The sequence below is a fragment of the Homo sapiens genome, chromosome 22, assembly GCF_000001405.40.
Source record: "Homo sapiens chromosome 22, GRCh38.p14 Primary Assembly".
NCBI classification, from domain to species: domain Eukaryota; kingdom Metazoa; phylum Chordata; class Mammalia; order Primates; family Hominidae; genus Homo; species Homo sapiens.
The window spans coordinates 22,618,074-22,644,579 of record NC_000022.11 but is presented as its reverse complement, the minus strand read 5'-3'; the positions used below and the strand labels follow the sequence as shown (position 1 = coordinate 22,644,579).

At 52.5% G+C, this 26,506-nt stretch overlaps 3 pseudogenes and 1 further gene across 1 annotated transcript, besides 1 other annotated feature; 1 reads left to right on the top strand and 3 right to left on the bottom strand.

Annotated features, from left to right (window-relative positions):
- Window positions 1–26,506, bottom strand: part of IGL (immunoglobulin lambda locus) — an 896,838-nt gene that overhangs the window by 278,334 nt on the left and 591,998 nt on the right.
- Window positions 39–13,023, top strand: POM121L1P (POM121 transmembrane nucleoporin like 1, pseudogene; annotated as a pseudogene). The gene is given in 10 exon segments (NR_024591.1): window positions 39–1,888; window positions 5,252–5,458; window positions 6,405–6,411; window positions 6,495–6,557; window positions 7,265–7,371; window positions 8,900–9,100; window positions 9,406–9,534; window positions 10,193–10,355; window positions 10,864–11,107; window positions 12,000–13,023. The product of NR_024591.1 is annotated as a POM121 transmembrane nucleoporin like 1, pseudogene (transcript).
- Window positions 5,343–5,531: a silencer, noted in NCBI's record as "fragment chr22:22981520-22981708 (GRCh37/hg19 assembly coordinates)". NCBI's record gives its function as "represses an EF-1alpha promoter that drives an FKBP-Casp9 reporter gene in an ReSE screen in phorbol 12-myristate 13-acetate-treated (for megakaryocytic differentiation) K562 erythroleukemia cells {active_cell/tissue: K562(+PMA)}" and the evidence as "EXISTENCE:reporter gene assay evidence [ECO:0000049][PMID:32094911]".
- On the bottom strand, window positions 7,996–14,515 carry BCRP4 (BCR pseudogene 4; annotated as a pseudogene).
- Window positions 25,369–25,862, bottom strand: IGLV3-30 (immunoglobulin lambda variable 3-30 (pseudogene); annotated as a pseudogene). Its single transcript is given in 2 exon segments — window positions 25,369–25,674; window positions 25,817–25,862. Coding segments are annotated over 2 exon segments (352 nt in total).

The window sequence follows — 26,506 nt, the reverse complement described above, 5'->3', positions numbered from 1 at the left end:
CCCTCAGGTTTAAAAGGCGCGTTGCCCGGCAACAGAAGAAACTGCTGGCTTAGCCGTTGGCCGAGTTGGCGGCTGGACGAGGACGCTCAGAGCCCAGCTCTCGAGAGTTCAAGCAACCGACGGTTCCCCACTGCTCCCAGGAGCGGTTACCTGGGCACTCTGTGCCCCTCCTTCCTGTTCGGGCCCAGGCCGAGGACCTGCCAGTAGGGCTCAGTTGCCTGGAGCCCGTTCAGCCCATCCCCCAGTTCACTTTGCCTGTGGGATCTCCCCGTTGCTCCTGCCCGTGCACTGAGTGGCAGGCCATCCTACAAGTACCCAGACACTTGACATCAGTGGTGTCAAGACAACTCTAAGAAGGTTTTCGGTGATCCTGCAAGCGCTGCGTTCCTTCCTGGGATCCTGCCTTCAATTTGATTGCACAGGTACCACAGCAAGCCAGTGCTGTGTGCTCCGAGTTCCAGGGCGTCCTCCAGCTCAGCCACTGCACTGAGAACATGGACTCTCTGTGGGGCCCAGGAGCCGGGAGTCACCCCTTTGGGGTCCACAACACCCGGCTGTCCCCAGACTTGTGTCCAGGGAAGATAGTGTTGAGGGCCCTCAAGGAGAGCGGGGCAGGGATGCCTGAGCAGGACAAGGACCCTAGAGTCCAAGAGAATCCTGGTGATCAGAGAAGGGTCCCGGAGGTCACCGGGGATGCACCGTCTGCATTTCGGCCCCTGCGGGACAATGGAGGCCTCTCTCCCTTTGTGCCCGGGCCCGGGCCTCTGCAGACAGACCTCCATGCCCAGAGGTCAGAAATCAGATATAACCAGACATCCCAGACCTCCTGGACGAGCTCCTGCACCAACCGAAATGCCATCTCCAGCTCCTACAGCTCCACGGGAGGCTTGCCGGGGCTAAAGCGGAGGAGGGGGCCAGCCTCATCCCACTGCCAGCTGACCCTCAGTTCCTCAAAGACAGTGAGTGAGGACAGGCCTCAGGCTGTCTCTTCAGGTCACACCCAGTGTGAAAAGGCAGCAGATATAGCACCAGGGCAGACACTCACCCTCAGGAATGACTCCTCCACATCCGAGGCCTCTAGGCCCAGTACACACAAGTTTCCCCTGCTGCCATGCAGGCGAGGGGAGCCTTTGATGCTGCCACCTCCCTTAGAGCTGGGGTACCGGGTCACTGTTGAAGACCTTGACCGGGAGAAGGAGGCGGCATTCCAGCGCATCAACAGTGCACTGCAAGTTGAGGACAAGGCCATCTCGGACTGCAGACCCTCACGGCCTTCCCACACTTTGTCCTCACTTGCAACAGGGGCTTCTGGTCTGCCTGCCGTTTCTAAAGCACCCAGTATGGATGCACAGCAGGAGACACACAAGTCCCAAGACTGCCTGGGCCTACTGGCCCCCTTAGCATCTGCTGCAGAGGTCCCCTCTACAGCTCCCATGTCTGGGAAGAAGCACAGACCACCAGGCCCCCTGTTCTCCTCCTCAGATCCCCTTCCTGCCACCTCTTCCCATTCCCAGGACTCAGCCCAGGTCACCTCGCTGATTCCTGCCCCCTTCCCAGCTGCAAGCATGGATGCGGGCATGAGAAGAACAAGGCGTGGCACTTCTGCTCCTGCAGCTGCCGCAGCAGCCCCTCCCCCCTCCGCATTGAACCCCACGTTGGGGTCACTACTGGAGTGGATGGAGGCCCTTCACATTTCTGGGCCTCAGCCACAGCTGCAGCAGGTGCCCAGAGGTCAGAACCAGAGATCGCAGACCTCCCGGACCAGCTCGTGCCCCAAATGAAATGCCATCTCGAGCCCCTACAGCTCTACGGGAGGCCTCCCGGAACGAAAGTGGAAGAGGGGCCAGCCTCATCCCACTGCCAGCTGACCCTCAGTTCCTCAAACACAGTGAGTGAGGACGGACCTCAGGCTGTCTCTTCGGGTCACACCCAGTGTGAAAAGACGGCAGATACAGCACCAGGGCAGACACTCGCTCCCAGGGGTGGCTCCCCCATATCCCAGGCCTCTAGGCCCCGTAGATGCAAGTTTCCCCTGCTGCCACGCAGGCGAGGGGAGCCTTTGATGCTGCCACCTCCCTTAGAGCTGGGGTACCGGGTCACTGCTGAAGACCTGGACTGGGAGAAGGAGGCGGCATTCCAGTGCATCAACAGTGCACTGCAGGTTGAGGACCAGGCCATCTCGGACTGCAGACCCTCACGGCCTTCCCACACTTTGTCCTCACTTGCAACAGGGGCTTCTGGTCTGCCTGCCGTTTCTAAAGCACCCAGTATGGATGCACAGCAGGAGACACACAAGTCCCAAGACTGCCTGGGCCTAGTGGCCCCCCTGCATCTGCTGCACAGGCCTGTAGTCCCAGCTACTTGGGAGGCTGAGGCAGGAGAACGGCATAAACCCGGGAGGCAGAGCTTGCAGTGAGCTGAGATCGCGCCACTGCACTCCAGCCTGGGTGACAGAGCGAGACTCCGTCTCAAAAAAAAAGAAAAAGAAAAAAAGTTCTTGTGACATTTCTGTATGAAATCAGCCTTCACTACATGGATAGGACCAGCACGCTTCCGCGGCACGACTCTGCCATCTTACTACATTTTTTTTATTTTGTATTTTTTTTATTCCTTTTGAGACAGTCTCACTCTGTCACCCAGGCTGAAGTGCAGCCGAGATCTCGGCTCACTGCAACCTCCACCTCTTGGGTTCAAGCAATTCTCCTGTCTCAGCCTCCCAAGTAGCTGGGACTACAGGCACACATCAAAACGCCTGGCTAATTTTTGTATTTTTAGTAGAGATGGAGTTTTGCCATATTGGTCAGGCTGGTCTCGAACTCCTGACCTCAGGTGATCGACCTGTCTTAGCCTCCCGAACTGCTAGGATTACAGGTGTATGTTTATTTATTTATTTATTTAAGATGGAATCTTGCTCTGTATTTATTAATTTATTTATTTGAGATGGAGTCTTTCTCCATCGCCCAGGCTAGAGTGCAGTGGTGCAATCTCGGCTCCCTGCAACCTCTGACTTCCAGTTTCAAGTGATTCTCCTGCCTCAGTGTCCCAAGTAGCTGGGATTACAGGTGCCTGCCACCACAGCTGGCTAATTTTTGTATTTTTAGTAGAGACAGTGTTTCACCATCTTGGCCAGGCTGGTCTCGGGCTCCTGACCTCATGAACCACCTGCCTCAGCCTCCCAAAGTGTTGGGATTACAGGCCTAAGGCACCATGCTCAGCCATATTTATTTATTTAATTATTTAGAGACAAAGTCTTGCTCTGTCACCCAGGCTGGAGTGCAGTGGCGCCATCTCAGCTCACTGCAGCCTCCGCCTCCGAGGTTTAAGCGATTCTCATGCCTCAGCCTCCTGAGTAACTGGGACTACAGGTACTCACCACCATGCAGGGCTATTTTTTTCTATTTTTTTTTAGAGACACGGTTTCACCATGTTGGCCAGGCTGGTCTCGAACTCCTGACCTTAGGTGATCTGACAGCCTCGTCCTCTCAAAGTACTGGGATTACAGGCATGAGCCACTGTGCCCGGCCTCTCACTACATTTAAGTGACGCCATGGCTCATGCCTGTAATCCTGGCACTTTGGGAGGCCAAGGCAGGTGGATCACTTGAGGTCAGGAGTTCGACACGAGCCTGGCCAACATGGGGAAACCCCGTCTCTAGTAAAAATGCACAAATTAGTCAGGTGTGGTGGTACAAGCCTGTAGGCCCAGCTACTTGGAAGGCTGAGGCAGGAGAATCACTTTAACCGGGAGGCAGAGGTTGCAGTGAGCCAATATCATGCCACTGCACTCCAGCTTGGGTGACAGAGTGAGACACCGTCTCAAAAAAAAAAAAAAGAAAATAGAAAAACATATGATGCCGGGGCATCTCGGCCTCAATACCTGCATGAGCACAGTCATGTCCAGGCCAGGGCTGCTGGTCGAGGTCCGGCCCCATCTCTTTCAGCAGAAAGGGATTAAGGTTGCAGGGAGGCTGGGGGACAAGATCCCAGGATCTCAGCCTCCGCTCATGGATCAGCTCTGAGACCCCGAGTGAGCTGGGGGTGCTCTGTGCGCATTGGTTTCCCCAGCTGTCAAGTAAAGGGATTGGATGAGGAAGTCTTGTCAAGGTGGAATGATCTCAGATTTGGGGCAGCAGTGAATGATCCCGCTCCCTGGGCCATGCCAGTGGCCCGGCCTCGGCTGAACACAGCCCCAACACTCTGGAATGGGGATGAGGGGGCAGTCAGCTCTTGCTCCTAGTAAGAGAGATGCAATAGGGCTCTGTGGCTGAGCTGGGTGCCTTGCCTCACACCTGTAATCCCAACCTTTGAGAGGCCGAGGCGGGAGGATTGCTTGAGGCCGGGAATTTTGAGAATAGCCTGGACAACATAGCCAGACCCCATGTCTACAAAATAATAAGAAAACACACAGCTATAGTCCAAGCTACTTGGCAGGCTGAGGCAGGAAGGTCCCTTGAGTCCGGGAATTGGAGGCTGCATTGAGCTATAATCGCACCACTGCACTCCAGCTTGGGTGACAAAGTGAGACCCTGTCTCTAAAAGAAAAAAAAATTGGCCTGTGAGCATGGGTTTGATTTTCAAACAGGACCCGGAGGGTAGGGACAGACAGTGCTGTCATCCTTAGGTGCTGAACACTCAGAAACGGGCCAGCGGCAGCCCTTTCCTCACCTGCAGACACCAGATTGGGCAGAACAGCACGTGGCACTTGCAGCTCTTGCAGTGAGGGCAGAACCCAGTGTCAACCCTTCTGCCTGTGGGAGGGGCTGCTGAGGCCTGCGGAGAGGCCAGGGTGGAGGCTCGTCCCCTTGTCCAGCCCTTGGCGTGGTCTCCACCAGGTCCCCAGCCCACCAGTGTAGGGCGCCCCTGAGCCTGCTGCTGCCACGGGCCCTGTCTCTACCCAGGACGTCCCCACACCCTCGCAGTGTCAGGGAAATGATCATGGTGGCGGTGACACTCCGCAGGCAGGGCTGCTGAGAGAAGCTGAGAAGGGTCACACTGCAGGCAGGGGCCCGTGTGACAAGCCCCTCTCACCCCGAGAGAGCTGACCAGGCAGCTCACGAGCAGAGCCACATCCCGGGAGTCCGAGAAAGGTCCTGGCTGGGCTCAGCCACCTCATTGGCCACGGGCAGCCTTTGTCGTGTGAGCCTTGCTCTCCTGGGGAGGCTCAGGCTGACGGCTGATGTGGGCATTGCCGAGGGTAACCTGTGGCCCAGTGTATATGGCCGGCTCTCCTCAAGCTGCATTCATTCAAGTAGGACCCAGGGTGCATGCCCATCTCCAGCCCAGGGCAGCTCCCCTGTGAGCTGGGTGAGCTACTGAAGCCAAGGTGGGAGGCAGCTGACAACACCACCCACGGCCCATGCGGAGGTGGCAGAAAGGCTGGACTCAGCAGGAACACCAAATCCCGGACCAGGCAGAAACCACCCAAGACTGAGGGGCTCGTGCCAGAGCGGTGGCCACAGGTAAGAAACCGGGCCCAGGCTGTGTGGCAGGAATCCTCCACGTCCCAGGGCTTAGCATAGCAAAGGAAGACCAGCCGGGTCACCCTGGTGGCCATCTGTCCCTGTCCCACCTGCAGAGTCAGAACAGCCTCTCCCCAGTGGGGATCATCTCTCTCTGCCAAAGCAACAGCGGTCCCTGCCCCAACCAGACTACCCCACTCAGTGGGGTTACGGATGCTGCTCCAGCATCCTAACACTGCCCAGCTGGTGCCTGCCTGTGCTCACCCACACCCCCCAGGCCGGCCTTCCCTGCAGCCTGGGCTTGGCCACCTTGGCCTGATTGAGCACTGAGGCCTCCTGGGCACCCAGCCCCATCACTGCACCTGCTGCTTCCAGCCCCACCCCACCGGCTCAGGGGTTCTTCCCAGCGGCGCTGATCATGAAGTCAACATGCACGCAAGTCGTCTCAGGAAACTTTTTAATGAAAGTGTCGGCCACGGTGGTGTGTAGGTGGCTGAGCTCAGATTGCAGCTGCTAAGACACCAGCCACTTACCAAGAGAAAGCCAGGCTGCTTCAAACTCAGGGCCCGCGGCAAAAAAGGATCACTTCCGGCCGGGGAGTCTGGAAGCCACGCCTTGTGGGAGGTCACACTGGCATCTAGGCCTTTGCCTGCACTGCAGAAGGAGAGCCGGGTCCCCCTCCTGGAGAACGCTGCGTTCCCCAGCCCCACACCGGCTTTGCCACCACACAGGCTGTTGAGGCAGGAGGCGGGTAAGACGTAGCTGTAGACCCAAAGCAACCACCAGCCCTGGGACCCTGCGGGAGAGGAGCACTTTTAGAACATGGAAAAGTGTGGTCATCCCATCATTAGACAGCACACATCCTACATAAATAAAAAGTCCTATGGGGAAGGAGGTTGGGGAGGGAATAAAAAATTGGCACAGACATTGATAGACTGGTTTCCAGTTTCAAGGTAACAGATGCACATCATGAGACCAGAGGAGGCAGAGACAAGGCTGGATTTGGCTTTTCTAAGCAACATGTGTTCCTGCGCAGGGCTGAATGGTCGCTGAGACAGAGATGGAAGCCAGGACAAGGGAGCCCACCGGGCCCAGATAGGTACAGAGAGCAGAGGCTCCTGTTCTGTCCTCGCCACCCACGAGGGTGACACTGCTTGTAAATGGTGGCTGTGCTCTCCCAGCAAGTAAAAAGCACAACTAAATCCACACTGCACACAGACGCAGACAGGAAGCCTTCAAGGGGCTCTGTTTTCTGCTCCCTGCCTTGCCAGGTCCACAAGCAGAGAGGAGTGTCAGGCGCATGGCCCCACTGTCAGGCTCCCCAGTGAGCTGCGGGTTCAGCAGGAGCTGCCCACTGACACACAGGGGACACCCACTCCTGCCACCTTGGGAGCGGTTGCCAGACAGAGCCGCACTGGGTGCTGGTGTCATCCAGGGACCCCACACACTTCCTTAAATGTGATCCTGCTTCCCTCTGGGGAGCTGCATCCTCTCCTCCTGCAGGACTGTCTGGAAACTTGGCTCTCAGTTTGCTCTCCCTTCTCTCCTCTGCCTGCCCCAAGCCCCTCTTTCTAAAAAAGTGATGGAATATTCATGGGGTTATTTCTTGAAAATACTTGGCGGCCTCCATGCTTCTGTTTTCTTTGAGCCAGGTGGTCAGGAGGGCTTACAAAGAATGCCTGGGCTCCCCCGCAGGTGCCGGCAGATGGGGTAGCGAATGGTCCTGTGCCTCCACCTGCTCCGGGAGGGAGTCTCCCGTCTCTAGGCCTGGCCCCTTCCTAACCCTCCACGTATCCTGTTCTCCAGAGACTTCAGAACCCACTCCTGAGAACAGCGGAGCCAGGCGCTTAGAGGAAGACCAAATGCTGCCAGGACACGGATTGTCCAGGGATTACATTCCAGCATCTTATTAGGTATCTGGATCTGCTGGGAAAAAAATTAGAAACTATGTATAAAACTTAAAAATATTCAAGCATCAAAAGGTTATTTAGGATGAAAGTTTTAAAACAAGTCATCAGCAAGCTGCTACCACCAAGTGGAGACTTATACAAAAGTTGAGCGAGTCCACTGAGCTGAGAGGACAGAAATGAAGTCACCTGTGCTGGGGCAGGGGCAGGGACACTGGGGGCAGGGAGTGTGTGGGCAGAGAAGCCAGAGAAGTCCAGGCCTGTGGAAGCCAAACAGGAGAGCGTGGGCCGGAAGGGCGGTCAGGATCGGGGGACGAGGTCGCTCTCCCTGGAGAACGAACCCTAAGGTGCGTAGCCTGGGATTCCCTCCCTGGGGGTCCTGTCCCCCGACATTTCACGGGCCTTCTGAGCTGCTTTCCAAGGAGGACTAACACGGCAACAAAAGACCCATTTCTGCACAAAAATCCTTCTGGAAAGAAAAAGAAGCAAGCCAAGAATGGAGTCAAAACGCTACCCAGTGCTGACTAAGCCTCTCAAACCCTGTTCTAAGTGGAGTGTGGTTTCTAAGTCAGGGAAATGGAAGAGGCCCCACCCACACAGGGACAGGGCCACGGCCCCCACAGGATGAAGCAGCAGCATTTATTCAAGATACAACAGTGAGGGAATCCGGTCACGTTCCCTTCTCCCCAGAGAGGGCGCTTCTTGACAAGTGATTCAGTAGAAATCTTTTAGACTCTATAAGTTAAGTTCATAAAAACCACTGCTTTCACCCTGTCTCCCAGGGCCAGGCCTGGACTCCAAGATGAACTGGCTTGGGGCGCCCTCGGGTGGCCACATAAAAAACCCACAGTCTGAGGCCAGCCTGGGGCTTTCAGACCTGGGCGGGATCTGCCCAGGCCACCTGTCCTTCTGCTTTGGGCCACTGTCTCTTGGCAGATGGCCTGACACCTGGGGGTGGCCCAAGGATGCCTCAGAAAATCTTGATTCCCACTCTACAGATGGCCCGATTAGCCAGAGGTTTCCAGGCCATCTGTCCGCCTCCAGGAGATGGACTGGGACCTTTAGACATCGGTGGAGAACAGGATGCTCTGTCTCTTGCTGTCCAGGGCAGGGATGGCCTCCAGCCGCAAGAAGTACAGCAGCACCTCGACCTGCCCTCGCAGAGTGGGGAAGAGGAGAGTGGCTCAGAGGGGGGCTCACAGCTGCTGGTGGGGAGGTCTTTGGGGCCCAAGCCCCCAAGTCCACCTCAGGTGCTAGAAACCCCTGCTGGTGTCATGAACCCCTTACAGTGAGACGGGGGTGGGGTGGGGTCCTGACAAGGCATGACTTGTTGGGTGGGGGGTGGTTATTTATTTTAGAGATGCACAGGGCCTTGCTCTGTCCCCCAGGCTGGAGTACAGTGGCTCCATCATGGATCACTGCAGCCTCTAACTCCTGGGCTCAAGCAATCCTCCTGTGTCAGCCTCCCAGATACCTAGGATTACAGATGTGTGCCACAATGCCTGACTAATTTTTCTTTCTATTTTTTCTGGAGATGGGGTTTGCTGCATTGCCCAGACTGATCTCAAACACCTGGGTTCGGTTGTCCTGCCTTGGCCTCCCAAAGTGCTGGGATTACAGGCATGAGCCACCACACCTGAACACTTGGGGTGGTTTTAAGCCCCCAGCAAGATGCACCAGCAGGACCAGGAGGTGGCCTGGGCACCCCCTATCACTCCCATCCATGCAAACCTAGGCAAGTCCCTCTCTCTGAATCTCAGCCACCACCACATACAATGCAAGTGGGAAGATGGGCAGGACTGGGGGTGGGGCAGGCAGAGGCCACCTCTGTCAGGCTGGGGTTGCATGGGCTGGAGGCTGTCTTCCCATACCTGGGACATGACCTCCAAGGACCTGCTGTCAGTCATGGTGATGGGCTGGCTGGGGTTGGCAGGGAGCTTGCTCTCCTTCTCGGAGGGCCAGAGCAGCGTGGGGCCAAACACCGTGCCAAGGTTGTGCAGGGACATCTTATTGACTGCCTCCTTCTCTGCCACCCTGTAGAGGACCGAAGCAGAGGGTGCTGTTTCAACGCCACCACCAGGAGAGAGGCAGAGGGGCTGTGCCATGCTAGAGTCCTCAGGGAGGGAGTGACCTCGACCCTGGCTGTGCTGCAAGCTGACTCCAGCCTTGGTACTTCTGGGTCTCAGTGGCCCGGGACAAGGGGCCAGCTCTGGGCTGATGGGGAGGTCTTCATGATGTGCTTGGGAGGGAAGTGGGGGCGGTCCAAATGCACTGCTGGCCACGGCCAAAGCTCTGAGCTCTTTGTTAAGGCCACAGTGCAGAGGGAGGCGGGTGGCAAAGAGGAGAGGCAGGGGCAGGGGTGGCAGTGGTGCTAGTCCTTAGAAGCAGTGAGTTACTGCAGACAGGGGTCGGGGGAAAAGGTCCTTGGTGCTGGGGGTCTGGTGGGAGCAGAGGGGCACCCCAACGGCCTGGAGACCTGGAGTCCTGGGCAGCCACAAGAGAGCTGGGCTACCTTTCCAGGTGGTCTAGAAGGAAAAGGAAGGTGAGCAGGTTGGCCTCCGGCAGGGACGACAGCAGGTTGAGCATGCAGCTCTTCTTTGCAACTGGGTCTGAAAGAGCTGCAGGAGGCAGTGGGTCACTCCCCTGGGTTACGACAAGCCGGAGACCTCTCCCGAGGTGGTCACATGGAGCGCCCGGGACACGAGTCCTTGCGCAGTTTAGGCTTGTCATCATCGTCACACCCACAGCGCTGGCCGCCAGTGAGGACCCTGTGAGGGGCACCTGTGTGGGGTGTGAACCACCTGAACGCCTTTTCTCTACCTCGCAGGGGTCAGCAGCACCTGGCGAACAGCAGCAGGAGGAGCCGCTAGAGCAGCTGCTCATGGGCAGAGCAGCCCTTGGGCAACTCCTGCCACCACCCCCTCCCCAGGGAGCCCAAGGCAGGGGAGGCTCAGCATGGAATGAAACAGCGGAGTGAGGGACACAAGGAGGTGGGAAGTGGGAGGGTCCCAGCCCCACCAAGTACGCAGAGACCCCCTCGTCGTCCTGGACACCACAGGGGCACCTGCAGGCTGGGAGACCAGGTCCTCTGTGCATGGGCCCGGGAGGCAGACCTGCCCTAAGGGTGATGCAGAGGCCACAGGTGCTGCACGCTCCAGCGCCCACTCTAGACATCAGCCTCCAGGTTGACTAAGGGTCAGGTCATGTTTGAAACCATGCTTGGCTGGACCAGGACCCATGGCAAGAGCACCTGGGCACCAGTGTTTAGCCCTGGTCTGCAGGAAGGAGGACAGCAGACTTTAGGACCCCACAGCACGGCAGTGCTGACCATTTCACCCACTTGGCCTCCTTGAGGAATAGGGATGGGGAGCCCTCTGGGGATGGGCAAGGCCTTCCAGGACAGGCTCGGTTCTGGTCCCCTGCTTTTTGAGGTTGGGTTAAAATGCCGACCATGGCAGAGGGGTTACAACTCAGGTTCCCACACCTCGCTTTTCACAGCCTCCGAGGGCAGCAGTGCACATGGGGGAGACATCTCCCACGAGGCCAAGGCCTCCAGTGCTCACCGATGCCCTCTGTGAAGTTGGGGTAGAACTCGTCAGTGAAAAGGGGCTCGGGCAGCTCACGGAAGTACAGCTTCAGCATGCCTGCGATGGCGTTCACGTCCATCTCGCTCATCATCACCGACACGTCCTTGTTATCTGGAAAGAGCATGGAAATGCAGCGGCCTCCTTGAAGATCCTGAGTGAGTCACCCGCCATCCCTGCCTTGGCTAAAGCACCGTCCCTGCCACACTGACCACTGTGCGGGTCCCTCCTGGGCTTTGAGCAGCTCATCTGACTCCTCCCAAGAGCTGTGCATGGTTCTGTGTCTGCAGAGTTGATAGGGGTGCGTGGGCATTCCCATTCCTCTCCCCTGCTTGGCCTGATGTGATGGCCAGGAGGAGGCCAGCATGGCAGGACACAGCGCCTGCGTGGGGATTGGGTGGCTCTGCCCTGTACATAGCAACCACCCCTGCACCAGTGTCGTCTGATAGCAGGAAGGCCGTGGGAGAATCTGATTGGTTTCAGTGTTTGAACCGGTGTCTTCCTTTGGACCCAATTGGCCATTGGTGCTTACATCCTCACCACAGGCCAGGTTCATTCTGGGCCCCCAGAGGGAGCTGAAACTACCACAGGGCCCTCCCAGGGATGCTGGGCATTCTAGGGGTCCTGGTCAGGGTGGGTGGTGTGTGCTGCAAAGAAGGGCCTGCAGGCACAAAATCCTGTTGCTTTGAAGATGCTGGGAGGGACCCTCTGGGGTCTCAGTGCCCTCCCCTGGCATTTGAGGCCAGTCTGGGTCCTTCAAAGCCTGTGAGGGTTGGTGAGATGGAGGCGGAGATGCTGCAGCCCCGGCCTGCGCTGAATTTCATCAGTGCCCTCTGCCCACCACATCCTCATACAGGGCAGTGGACAGACCGCACTGAGTCCTGGGCTTCCACCTCCTGTCCACCCCCAAGGCAGGAAGGCCAAGTCCCCACAGAAGCCCCTGGTCCACTCCACCAAGTGGCATGAGTGGGTACGATGGTGTAAAAACTGGCTTCTATAGAAGCTGTTTGTACAACTCTTGTTTTCTCTTTTTTTAAAATAATAAAACAGTAAATGAAGAAAAGACACAGAGAAGGATGTGACATGCCTGGGCCATGGAGCACTCTGAGATCTCATCGCGGACACCACTGCCCACACCTCCATCCCGTCCTGCGCAGGCCGACACTCACTGACGTTGAAGCCTGCCTTCAGTGCCTGGATGTCCGTGGCCACCCCAGACATGCGGTAGATGCCCACCTCCTCCATGCCTCGGCGCTCGATCTCCTCCACACACTGGCGCACGATGTAGGGCACCTTGGACCTCTCTCTCCTGCGGGAGGAGGGAATGTTCTCAGTGTCCTAACAGCCCTGCTTGGGCCATAACACAGGAGACCTGCTCCCTATGTGCACACCCGGAGGTGGGGTGAGGACGGTGACGAAGGTACCCAGGTCTGGGGCTGCACACAGAGCCTTCTGCATGCCTGTCCTCCCTCTGCAAGCTCTGTCCTCATGGCATGTACTTTCTCAGGAACCTTTCAAGCGGCCAGAACCCCTGCGAATCACACATGACCTTTGCGGGAAGGTCAGGAGGCCTGTCTAAGTCAAGTCAGCACGGGAAGGGCATCTGACAGATTCCAGGCCTGGGGTTAGCAGCCTGTGCCCCCGTCTGGGAGGTCAGACCCGGTGTTGGTCCTGCCACCCACGTGCTGTGTGAGAGGAGAATCCCTGACCCCTGCCCTGGGCCTGGGCCTTAACACACATCCGACGAATGAATGAAGGGTTGCCTCAGCACCGGTGCTCCAAGTCCTGCGATGCTAAGTGCTTTTCTCCTCTGAGTCTTAGCAATGGACAATTCCAATACCTCCACACAGGACACTAGAGTAAGAATCCTTCACAGTTAGAACGCAGTGCTGTGCGGAGGCCTTAACTTGAGTTCTGTTTTGCACCTGGATTTACCAGCACATCAAAGCTGCTTCGCAAGCCCCCTCATTAGCAGGGCTTATCTGGGGGAGCTGCTGATGGAGTCCTCGCTGCTCATGCCCACAGCCCTCCCAGAGTGCTATGCGAGTGGGGGTGGGGCGTGGTGTTTAGACACAGATAGGAGTCCAGGGTATGACTGATGGAGGCCCCGGCCCACGTGACCAGCAAGGTCAGAGGCCCAGCCAGATTCCATCCTAGGGAGGCAAATGAATTCTCAGAGGAAGTGGTCTATGTCTGCATGAACTGCTCTCAAACCAACAAACAGGCTTCTCTTGGCAACTGACTCGTGACAAAGGGGCAGGGGTTACAACCATTCAACAGGAATCTGGGACCGTGACTAATTCCAAGCAAGGGCAGAAAACCCTGCACTTGGGCAGTTCCTGGAGCCAGCCTACTGCTTCCAAGCAAGGTGGCAAGGACATTCCTGAGCTGGTTTGCAGGAAACACAGGAGGTAGCTGAAGACGCCGTGTTCCCTGGGGCCTGACCTCACCGTGCAGTGGCCACGCACAGAGAGGAGAGACCCACACATGCTCTTTTCTGCAGAAACAGCTGAAGGGACAGGCACCCTCAGTGCGTGAGCCCAAGCCCCTCCCCACTCACTTGGTGACCACAGCAATCTTGACTCCGAAGACCCCTGTCTGTTTTCGGGACGGCATCCTCTTCAAGCTGAACTTCCTGCTGTTGAACTTGACCGAGAGCTTTACTTCGATCTACAGTGGGGAGAAGGGGCACAGTCCTCTAATCCTTCTGGTCCTCATAGCCCAAGGTCCCAAGGACCCCTGGGAGTCTCATCAAATATTTCCACCCCCAAGGCATGCAGAGGTCTCAGCATGAGGTGGAGCCGCCCCTCGGGGAAGCCCCTAGTCTACTTCAGCAAGAGCCAGGATTGTTGAAGATGATGTAAACGACTGGTTTCTGCAGAAGCACCTCCTAAAATCCCCGCTGCTTCTCTTGCTTGCTTACTTTTTTTTAAGATATGGGATCTTGCAATGTTGCCCAGGCTGTAATCAAACTCTTGGGCTCCAGTGATTCTCCTGGTTCAGCCTCCAGAGTAGCTGAGATTATAGTGTACTGTGACCAGCTTTCTCTTAGTAACAATTAAAAATTAAGTAGGAAAGACAGAATAATGTAAGAAAAAGCCAAGAATCTCAAATATTAACATTTTACCATTTATACCCGGGCCTTTTTGGGTGTGTCATTGCTTTTAAGGCCTAAACCTTTCTGGGGTACCTAAAGACAAATCAGGGGTCTCCATTTCTATGGGCAGCCCCCAGGTCCCTGAGTGGAGGCCCCACCTGTCCTGGTGGTGCCATGAGACCTTTGTTTGAGGAGGGATGCTCAGGGCCTGGCTGGCAACTGCATTCCAGCCAATGAATGACGATTCCCGTGCATGGTGATTCTGCTCTTGGGGGCCCTCCCTTCTCCAACCAGGCTCCCTCTCAGATGCTGCCTCAGGCTCAGCCACCTCTGACTGATTTGAAATGAACAGAGGCCACCCTATCCTTCTGGGGGAAGTGGGCGCCAGGAGAGTCCCACGGACACGTACCCCATTCATGGCGATGACGGCGCGCTGCCAGTCTCTGTCCTGCAGGGCCTGTGGGTCCAGCTGAAAGGAAGGAGTCATGATTGGCAGAGGCCCTGGGGTCTGTTCAGAGGCCCCACGGGGCAGCAGCCCACACCCGCCACTTCCCCAACCCTTAGTCAGAGGCAGAGCCCGACTGCGGCCAGCACCTCCATCCAGAGGCTGAGAGACGTAGAGTAAGGAGGGGCCTGCCAGACACCCCTGGAACCCAGGGCCCCACTGCTCCCAGAGCCCTGCTGCCTGGGGTCCCCACCCCCTCCTCCCTCTGCCCCGCCCAGTTGGGAGCTGATGTGCAGGCTGGCAGGCTCTCTCCATCCGGCTCCCATCACCACGGGTGCTATGTGGAGCTCAGTGAAAGGCGAGCTGTCCAGCAGCAACTTCAGTAACAACTCCTGGGGGCCTGGCATCCACAGCTGCTGTCTGGGGAATTGTGGACACTGTTCTCCCCCTGCACCATGAACAGCTTGTGGCGGGAGGAGCCTGCAGGCCACACCAGTCCCATGGTTCAGAATCAGGCCCAGAAGGACCCAGAACCAAGCCCTAAATCAAGCAGCTGATGAGGGGGCCGGGAGGAAGCCCCTCTGTGACCCCTCTAACTTCTACCCCCAGCCAGCACTATCCAGGCAGCTAGCCTGCAGGAGCTTGTCCTTAATGTCACCCGAACACAGTCTGTCCTGGTATGTAACACCCTGACTGTCATGACCAAGCCACATGTCCCCCACCCAGGAACGCTCTGTTTCCCACTTTATGGGGAGCACAAGCTCTATGTCAGCGGTTCCTGGGTATGCCAAGACCACTGGCTGGGCTGGGTGAATGAGCAGTACCATCTTGTTAAAAATACACCTTCCTGGGTTCCACCTGCAGAGAACTGGACTCATAATCTGAGTGGGACCTGGGATTTGCACAGCTAGAAACCCCAGGTAGTTCTGGAGTGAAGCCAGGTCACGGAGCCACCGTCTGACTCCATAGAAGGCCACTGCATCTGGCCTTGTGTTTCCATCCCTTGATTCAGGTGATGGTTCACTTCAGCCACAAGGCAAGCTGCCTAACAGCAGGGACCACACCTCATGATGTCTGCACACATTCACATGCGTGCACATATACATACACACACACGACGGTGCTGAGCACAGCGCCAGGCCTAGAGAGGGGCTGAGGACAGGCATCATTTCCACTGCAAGGGACCCTAGCGGCTACAGCCACCTGGGCCTTCTGCAGGTGAAGTGGCCAGAAAATAAGAAGCTCTGGAGCAGGTCAAGGAGCCCAGCCAGCTGCCCCTACTTCACAGGTGTGTGCACCTGGGCCTCCCTCCCTGCACCTGCTCAGCACGAAGGCTCACCACAGGCACACCTGGGGGGTGACCCCTTCTCACCTCCCCTTCTAGGTCCTACTGGTTAACGTTTCCCAAGGCTCTGAACTGTGCAGCCAGAGTGGCACAGAGAAGCAAAGGGCGGCGGGACGTCTCCCACCGGGGGCCATGTGGCCACAGGCTCTCATTCCGCACCTGGCCCTGAAGGTCGTCAGAGGCCACACTCCAGGCCTCAGGGACCCCACCCTGAGAAGCAGCATCTGTGAGCAGGGAGCGGTCAGTCAGAACCACACATAAAAAGGAAACTCTCAAGTGGCACTTTCCCCCGGAGTGAACCCTAAGCAGAGGCAGGAGAGGACAACATGAGGGATGCGGACAGAGTGCGCTTTCTCTGGAAAGGAGGAGTTTATACCACTGCTGGGAGCTTTAAAAAATGGAAACCCTGCCTGTGATATCAGCACTTTGAAAGGCCGAGGCAGGAGGATCACTTGAGCCCATGAGTTTAAGACCAGCCTGGGCAATATAGTGAGACCTTGTCTGTATTAAAAAAAAAAAATTTAAAAAGGCAGCCAAGCATGGTGGCACATACCTGCAGTCCCAGCTGCTTGAGAGGCTGAGGTGGGAGCATTGCTCGAGCCTGGAAGGTGGAGGCTGCTGTGAGCCACGATCATGCCATTGCACTCCAGCCTGCGCAACAGAGCGAGAGACCCTGGCTCTAACTAACTAACCAAGTAACTGGAAACATAGAAACATGTTAAACAGGAGACATTCTTCCCTTTCCTTCAAAGAACAGCCATCACTGGGCCCCTCTCCCCTTGAAAACTCAGAACTGGCAGAAGCAGCTAACAAGCAACCCAGAGTCCAGGTAAGAAAAGACAGAAAGAGAAGCTGCCCAGACATCAGGCAGCTGCCCCTCTGAGCCCGCCTGGAACCAAGGCCCACATGCCAGCCCATTAATAAAATAATAATGAAAACTACTCACATCTAACAAGAGATTAGACATCCAGATAGAGGAGGCTCAAATATCCCCAAACAATGCAATGCAAAGGGTCTTTGCCGTGGCAAACTATAATCAGACTATTTAAGGTCAATGTGAAAATGCGAAATCTAAAACCACCAAGAGAAAAGAATCTAGTCACCTATAAAGCAAACCCCATCAGATGAAGAGCAGATTTCACAGCCCAGCAAATAGAAAACATGTGCTTAAAGGCATAGGAGGCAGAGAGGTACAGGGCTGGAGACAGGCAAGGCCAGCATTCCCCTCAAGGCGACGGCCAATCCTGGAAGAGGAGGCTGAGAGACAGAGCAGTGATTCTTTTTTTTTTTTTTGAGACGGAGTCTCACTCTGTCACCCAGGCTGGAGTGCAGTGGCATGATCTCGGCTCACTGCAACCTCCACCTCCTGGGTTCATGCCATTCTCCTGCCTCCACCTCCTGAGTAGCTGGGACTACAGGCGCCTGCCACCACGCCCGGCTAATTTTTTGTATTTTTAGTAGAAATGGGGTTTCACCGTGTTAGCCAGGATGGTCTCGATCTCCTGATCTCATGATCTGCCCGCCTTGGCCTCCCAAAGTGCTGGGATTAGAGGCGTGAGCCACCACGCCCAGCTGATTCTTTTTTTAATTCTTCCTTCCTTTTTTTTTTTTTTTTTTTGCTTTTTACTTTGCTGAAACAGGGTTGCCATTACTTTTAAAGGCAAAAACCGCAATTACTTTTGTACCAACCTAATAATATATTGCTCTGGCTGGTTTCAAATTCCTGGCCTGAAGCAATCCTCCTGCCTCAGTCTCCCGAGTAGCTGGGACTATAGGCGTGAGCCACCACACCTGGTCTAGAGCAGTGCTGTTGACTTACTCATGTGGCTGAGGGAGGGGATGCCATAATACCCCACACATGGGGTGCAGGTTTCTTACTCTAGGAGTCACAGTCAACCAGAAATAAAGCAGCCCTCAGGAGCACTGGATCCAGCTTCAGATCATCTCAGTCACTCAAATGCATAAAGGAGATCTCAGAATTTCAGAGCCCTAGGCCTCAAATTATTTTATTTTTATTTATTTATTTATTTGAGACAGCATCTCACTCTGTTGCCCAGGCTGGAGTACAGTCTCAGGATCATGGCTCACTGCAGCCTCGATCACCCAGGCTCAAGTGAGCCTCCCACCTCAGCGTCCCAAACAGCTGGGACTACAGGCACACACCACCACCACACCCAGCTAATTTTTTATTTTTTGTAGAGATGGGGTTTCACCATGTTGCGCAGGCTGATCTTGAACTCCTAGGCTCAAGCAATCTGCCTGCCTCAGCCTCCCAAAGTGATGGGATTACAAGCATGAGCCATCATGCTTGGGCTCGAAATTATTTTTAAAAATTATTTCTGGCTGGGCGCAGTGGCTCACGCCTGTAATCCCAGCACTTTGGGAGGCTGAGGTGGGCAGATCACGAGGTCAGGAGTCTGAGACCAGCCTGACCAACATGGTGAAAACCCATCTCTACTAAAAATACAAAAATTAGCCAGGCGTGCTGGCACCTGCCTGCAATCCCAGCTACTTGGGAGGCTGAGGTAGGAGAATTGAACCCTGGGATGCAGAGGTTGCAGTGAGCCGAGATCACATCATTGCACTCCAGCTTGGGCAACAAAGCGAGACTCCATCTCAAAAAAAAAAAATTATTTGTAACAATTTTTATACACAACTTCCATTGCCAAATTAAAAACAACCAAGCAAACAAGGAAATAAGACAGCAGGAACAAAACTCAAGAGAAAGCACAGACAACTTTGAAAAAGGCCCATAGGATCTCCAGAATATAAAATCATCAGACCATGTACTTTAAAATAAATTCTTTACATGTGTATCAAGGATATAAAGAAATAATTAAGAATTTCATCAGAAAACTGGCAGCTACAAAAAATGGATGCACTAGGTGTGGTGACTCATGCCTGTAATCCCAGCACTATGGGAGGCTGAGGTGGGTGGATCACCTGAGGTCAGAAGTTCAAGACCAGCCTGACCAATATGGTGAAACCCCATCTCTACTAAAATTACAAAAATTAGCCAGGCATGGTGGCATGCTCCTGTAGTCCCAGCTACTCGGGAGGCTGAGGCAGGAGAATCACTTGAACTGGGAGGGGGAGGTTGCAGTGAGCCGAGATCGCACCACTCTACTCCAGCCTGGGCGACAGAGCGAGACTCCGTCTCAAAAAAAAAAAAAAAAAAAAAAATGGAGGCTGGGAGTGGTGGCTTAGGCCTATAATCCCAGCACTTTGGGAGACAGAGGTAGGCCAATCACATGAGGCCAGGAGTTCAAGACCAGCCTGGCCAACATGGCAGAACCCCATCTCTACTAAAAATACAAAAATGAGTTAGGCATGGTGGTAATCCCAGTTACTCGAGAGGCTGAGGCATGAGAATCCCTTGAACCTGGGAGATGGAGGCTACAGTGAGTTGAGATTGCACCACTGAACTCCAGCCTGGGCAACAGATAGAGACTCAAAAAAAAAAAGTCTCAAAAAAAATGGAATTAGGAACTCAATTTGAACAGCACACTAGACACAAACATAAAAAAAATAGTGAACTGGTATGTATGTATGTATGTATGTATGTATGTATGTATGTATGTATTTATTTATTTATTGAGACAGGGTCTCACTCTGTTGCCCAGGCTAGAGTGCAGTGGCATGATCTCGGCTCACTACAACTTCCACATCCCGGGTTCAAGCAATTCTCCTGCCTCAGCCTCCCAAGTAGCTGGGATTACAGGCACCCACCACCACGCCCGGCTAATTGGGAGATAGTTTGATACAAACTATACAAATTGAAGTACAAAGAGAAAAATAGATAGAACATACAGGAATGGATTAAGAGACATGGGGGATACTTTAACAAGGCATAAGTCATGTGAAATTGGAGTCTCATAAGGAGAGTAGAGAGAGGATGGGGAAGACGTAATACTTGAAGAGATAAAGCTGACAATTTTCTAAAATGGACAAAAAAGAATCAAGTCATGGAATGAAGAGCCACCTCAATGCATCAGTGTAAACTGCTCAAAACAAAGACAAAACTTTTCAAAGCAGCCAGAGGAAAAAAGATACTGCCTTCAGGCCAGGGTTGGGGGCTGGCTCATGCCTGTAATCCCAGCATTTGGGAGGCTGAGGCGGGCGGATCACCTGAAATGAGGAGTTTGGGATCAGCCTGACCAACATGGCAAAAGTTCATCTCTATTAAAAATACAACAATTAGCCAGGTGTGATGGTGGACACCTGTAATCCCAGCTACTTGGGAGGCTGAGGCAGAAGAATCACTTGAACCCAGGAGGCAGAGGTTGCAGTGAGCTGAGATTGCACTACTGCACTCCAGCCTGGGCGACAGAGTAAGACTCCATCTCAGAAAACACAACAACATAAAAAGCCATTGCCTTCAAATGAGCAAAATTAGATTGAGAATTGGCTTCCCAATAAAAGCAGGAGAAATCAGATACAAGGAATCATGTTTTCAAACTGAGGAAAGAAAATATCTGCCAACCTAGAATTCTATGCTCACTAACAATATCCTTCAAAAGTGAAAATGGCTGGGCATGGTGGCTCCTCCCTGTAATCCCAGCACTTTGGAAGGCCGAGGCAGGTGGATCACCTGAGGTCAGAAGTTCGAGACCAGCCTGGCCAACATGGTGAAACCCCATCTCTACCAAAAATACACAAATTAGCCAGATGTGGTGGTGGATGCCTGTAATCCCAGCTACTCAGGAGGCTGAGGCACAAGAATTGCTTGAACCCGAGAGGTGGAGGTTGCAGTGAGCCAAGATCTTGCCACTGCACTCCAGCCAGGGTGACAGAGCAAAACTCCATCTCAAAAAAAAAAAAAACAGGCCAGTCACGGTGGCTCATGCCTATAATCCCAGCACTTTGAGAGGCCGAGGTGGGCGGATTGCCTGAAGTCAGAAGTTCAAGACTAGTCTGACCATCATAGGGAAACCCGGTCTCTACTACAAATACAAAAAAATTATCCAGGCATGGTGGCATGCACCTGTAATCCCAGCTCCTTGGAAGGCTGAGGCAGGGGAATTGCTTGAACCAGGGAGATGGAGGTTGCAGTGAGCCGAGATCATGCCACTGCACTCCAGCCTGGGCAACAGAGTGATACTCCGTCTCAAAAACAAACAAACAAACAAAAATTAGCCAGACGTGATGGCTAACACCTGTAATCCCAGCTACTCAGGAGGCTGAGACGGGAGAATCACCTGAACCCAGGAGGTAGAAGTTGCAGTGAGCTGAGATCCCACCACTGCACTCCAGCCTGGGCCACAGAGCAAGACTCGGTCTCAAAAAACAAACAAAAAAGTGAAAGTGGAATATATATGTGTGTGTGTGTGTGTGTGTGTGTGTGTGTGTGTGTATGTGTATATATGTGTGTGTGTATATGTGTGTATATATATGGAATATATATGTATATTTTGTCCATGACATAGCCCTCAGGAGATCCTTGACCATGTGCTGAAGGATATTTTTTCCCAAAGATATTTTTATAAATAAAAATAAAGGGTAACAGAAGAGGTAGATGTGTGGGTAAATCTAAATGAATGTTATTGGTATGAAATTACAGTAGTATAGAAAATGATATCTTGTGGGGTTTAAAATAAATAAAACATACTGAAATATGTATGGGTACAGTTATATATCTGGGATTTGCACTGAAATAATGTGGGGTAGAGGGAAGCAGGAAAGAGTATACATGAAATGAGCTTGGCCATAAGATTGTTGTTGAAATTGAATGGATACTCGGGGCTTCATTACACAATTCTCTTTACTCTTACATAGCTCTACACTCTCAACATAAATAAGAATAAAAACACAAAAAACACACAGATACATCTATGCACACACATATGTTTAAAATACACAAAAATATTAGCATATAAGTCACTGGGGGTAAATTTAGTTCCTGTTCCAAGGTTCTTCTACTGACTAGGAAGAGGATAGAAGTACTAACTCATAGGCTGGGCGTGGTGGCTCACGCCTGTAATCCCAACACTTTAGGACGCCGAGGTAAGCAGATCTCTTAAGGTCAGGAGTTCAAGACCAGCCTGGCCAACATGGTGAAACCCTGTCTCTACTAAAAAAGAATACAAAAATTAGCCGGGCATAGTGGTGCACACCTGTGGTCCCAGCTACTCAGGTGACTGAAGCAGGAGAATTGCTTGAACCCAAGAAGTGGAGGTTGCAGTGAACCAAGATTGCTCCACTGCACTCCAGCCTGGGCAGCAGAGGAAGACTCTCTCTGTCTCAACCACAACAAAAAGTACTAGCTCATGTTAGGCTTTGATAAGTGAAGGATGCATGTTGTAAGCTCTAAAATAATCCACTGTCATCTTTTAAAATAACTCTAAGACTGCACAGTTATGAAACTAATAGAGAAGGAGGAAATTAAATAATAAAAATAATAAATCCAAAACAAGATGTGAGAGGAGATAAGAAGAAATAGAATAGGCATGGAAAACAAATTGGTGGTGGGTTTCAACGTAAATAAATCATTAGTTACATTTAAAAGGACAATAAAAATTAAAATAATTGAAAATAAAGTAAAACCCAACTAATGCCTTTTATATAAGGATACAGAGAGGTAGAAAATAATGAAAAATATGTCATGCATGTACTAACCAAGAAAGCTGTATAACTTTTTTTTTTTTTTTTTTTTTTTTTGGAGATAGAGCCTCACTGTCTCCCAGGCTGGAGTGCAATGATGTGATCTTGGCTTACAGCAATCTCTCCCTTCTAGGCTCAAGCGATTCTCCCACCTCAGCATCCCAAGTAGCTGGGACTACAAGTGTGCCAACTTAGAATTATATTAGCCACACCCAGCTAATTTTTGTATTTTTTGTAGAGGCAGGGTCTCGCCATGTTGCCCAGGCTGGTCTTGAACTCCTGGGCTTCAGTGATCCACCCACCTCGACCTCCAACAAAGTGCCGAGATTACAGCCATGAGCCACCATGCCCAGCATAACTATTTTTAATGAAGTAGACTTTAAGAAGAAAAGTATTATTAGAGGTAAGAGACACATCACGGAAAAGAAGAATTTACTAGGAGCCAGGCGTGGTGGCTCATGTGAGGCACTTTGTGAGGCCAAGGCGGCGGATCACCTGAGGTTGGGAGTTCAAGACCAGCCTGACCAACATGGAGAAGCCGTGTCTCTACTAAAAATACAAAAATTAGCCAAGCATGGTGGCATATGCCTGTAATCCCAGCTACTCAGGAGGCTGAGGGAAGAGAATTGCTTGGACCCAGGAAGTGGAGGTTGAGGTGAGCTGAGATTGTGCCATTGCATTCCAGCCTGGGCAACAAGACCAAAACTCTGTCTCAAAAAAAAAAAAAAAAAAAGTAAGTTACTAGCTAGTTTCAGTAATTCTTAACATCCAGGAAACTGGATGTGAAAGCTTTTCAGAGAAGCTAAACCAATAGGTTATACATAGAGAGATTTATTTAGGAATTGGCTTACATAATTGTGGGGACTAGCAAGTTTAAAATCTGTAGGGCAAACCAGCAGGCTATAAATTCAGGTAAGAGTTGATCTCGAAGTCTGGAACCTAAAATCTGTAGAGCAGTCAGCAGGCCAGAAACTCAGGCAGGGTTTGTGTGTTACAGTCTTGAAGCAGAATTCCTGCTTCTCTGGGAAACCTCAGTTTTTGTTCTTAAGGCCTTCAACTGATTGGAGGTGGCCCACCCATATTATGGTGGGTGATCTGTTTTACTTAAAGTCAATTGACTGTCAGTGTTAATCACATCTATGAAATAACCTCCCAGCAAGATATTGACAAGTATTTGACCAAACAACGGGACACCATAGCTTAGCCAAGTTGACACATAAATTAACCATCAGGAGCAAGTAGAATATCCAAAAAACAACATACTAGGGGTATTATATCTTATATAGCTATTATAATTATATAAAACATATAATTATAGAATGAAGATATTAAGATAACCATTAGAACAAAAATATAAACTTTTCTTTCTTTTTTTTTTTTTTTTTTTTTTTGAGACCAAGTCTTGCTCTGTCACCCAGGCTGGAGTGCAGTGGTGCAATCTTGGCTTACTGCAACCTTTGCCTCCTGGGTTCAAGTGATTCTCCTGTCTCAGCCTCCCAAGTAGCTGGGATTACAGGCACCCGCTACCATGCCCAAGCATCCACCATGTGGTGGTATTTGGATGAGATGTGCATGCAGTGAAAGGTCATTGGAAGATTTGGGGAGACCCATGCATTCAGAGAATAGGAAAGCAAACCTAGGGAGTCATCCTTCATATGAGCAGAAATGTTTAGGGTCTTCTTGTTTGGAACAGCTGAGCACCTCCCATAGAAAAAAAGGACACATTATTACATCCTAACTTCGCATCAAGAAGTATATATGGTCATGATGGATTCTGGAAGAAGCATTATTCACTCTTGGGATGTTGCTCCAACCCAAATAGCAAAAACAAAGAAAAGTTGCATGTCTGTGGGTCCTAGAGCAGGAAGGCTCTGCAGCAGGTCCACACAGTGGTGGGAGTGCCCTGCTGGTTGAGCCCTAGAACCCAGCTGGGTCTACTGCAATGCAGGAATTTATGATGGGAGAAGAAACCTTGCATTTATGGCAAGATCCAATAGGAGATCCCAGTCCAGACATGTGGGGTTGTGTAACAAGGCCCTGTCATCTTAATGAAATTTGCCCCTTCTGGAAAGGTTTGTTCTGTCTTTGCTGCTCACACCTGAGAGTCGTGTGTGCACTTCTTTCTCATGTGCACGTGCAAGACAACTCCTGTTCTCAGACACCCAGAGAAGAAAAGGCTTGAAACTGAGGAGCTGATCCCTAGGATTCCATTGCACCTGCCTGGCCCAGACAGAGCTCCTGAAATGAAAGGAGTTGGGCTGGGCCAGAGTAGCACATCTCATTCTGTGGGCACAATCCTACTGGTTCAAAATGCTTTCTTTTTCTCAAGCCCAAGTTCTCAGGGTTAGCTCAGAGAACTGGTTCCTTTCCTGCCACACTCTGTGTTGAAAGGGAGGGAAACGACTGTCTCTAGTGCAGAAACCAAGCTCTCTGGAGACATTTCTTATCCCATGAACCTGTGCACTAGTCTCTGTAGGGCCCAGGTAATAAAGGGACAAGATGTTTGGATTTACAATGAATGTAATTGTAAAATTCATGGTTAAATAGAAATCCGACAGTTTCTCCTGCTGCTTTGGCTACCATGAGAAACCACCTGAGTGAACTGAGACCAAAGTCATGGTCACTGCTTAGAGCAAGCTTGTCCAGCCTGCAGCCTGCAGGCCACATGCAGCCTAGGATGGCTTTGAACGTGGCCCTACATAAATTTGTAAACTTTCTTAAAACTTTATGAGATTTTTTTGCAATTTTTTAAGCTCATCAGCTATTGTTAGTGTTAATGTATTTATGTGTGGCCCAAGACAATTTTTCTTCTTCCAATGTGGCCCAGAGAAGCCAAAATGTTGGACATCCTGGCTTAGAGAGGATGTGAGATATTGAGCCTAGTTATATTAGAGGTTCCTGTCCCACATCCCCATCTGTCTGTTTCACTGTGAGCCACTGCCTGCTGCTCCCTCAGCCATCATAGGTGCTACAGTAATAGCCTCGTCCCTGGCCTGGGCCCCACTAATGGTCAGAGTGGCTGTGTTCCACAAGTTGGAGCCAGAGAATCACTCAGGGGTCCTTGAGGGCCACTTGCTGTCTTTATAGATGACCGGCACAGGGGTCTGGCCTGACTTCTGCTGGTACCAATAAACATATCCACCTCCAACAGTATTTCCACAGCAGGTGATCCTGGCCATCTGTAATGGGGCCACTGACACTGAGGGTGGCTGAGACAGCTCATATGTGGCCATGAAACCTGCAGGAGATGAGGGAGAAAAGGCTTGAAGCTGAGGAGCTGATCCTCAGGATTCCTTTGCACCTGCCTGGCTGGGACAGAGCTTCTGGGATGAAAGGGAGCCTGACTGTGCCCCTCAGAGTGCCCATGAGCACAGGAGTACAGGAAGATTTCAACCTTACCAGCCCCTCACCCTGCAGCAAGGTCATGAGCATCCTTTCCACCACAGGCAGAGCCCTGCTGAGCTCACAATCAAGGCCAGCCTGGTCCCACAGCCCGGGGCTGGGCGGGTGGCTGGGACTCTGGCGGCAGCACCTGTGCAGTGAGCGAGGAGGCTGAGAAAGGTCCAGTCCATGACTGAGACATCCCTGATGCTGCTTCCTGTGGCCCAGGGCGGGTAGGTTTCTCCCAGGCCTCTCTTATCCCCTTGATGGAGAAAGCGGCCCGTGATGCAAGTCAGCAGAATCAGGGGCTGCTACTGGAGTAGCTTTGTAGTTTCCAGAGAAGGGCTCAGCCCCAAGGGACACAGAGAGGGGAGGGGAGGACCCTACAGACCCACCTCAGCCCACAGAATTCTCCTTCACTTGCTGGTCCCAAAGTCTGGGCCAACATCTTTACCTTAAACTATGTCTTGGCCTTGGTTCTCAGCTAGCCAGGCCAGGTGGAGTTCACAGATCATTCTGTCTGCATTTTGTGAGCCCATTCTATAGTTAACAGCAGAAGACTTTGATAGGTTCTGGGTCCTGCCCCAGATCAGGTGTGGATTCAGAACCTGCTGCTCAGGTCCCTGATTCCCTTGTCCATGGACTGCTGGTTCCAAGAGAGGAATTCCTCTTCTTTATTTGGCCTTATA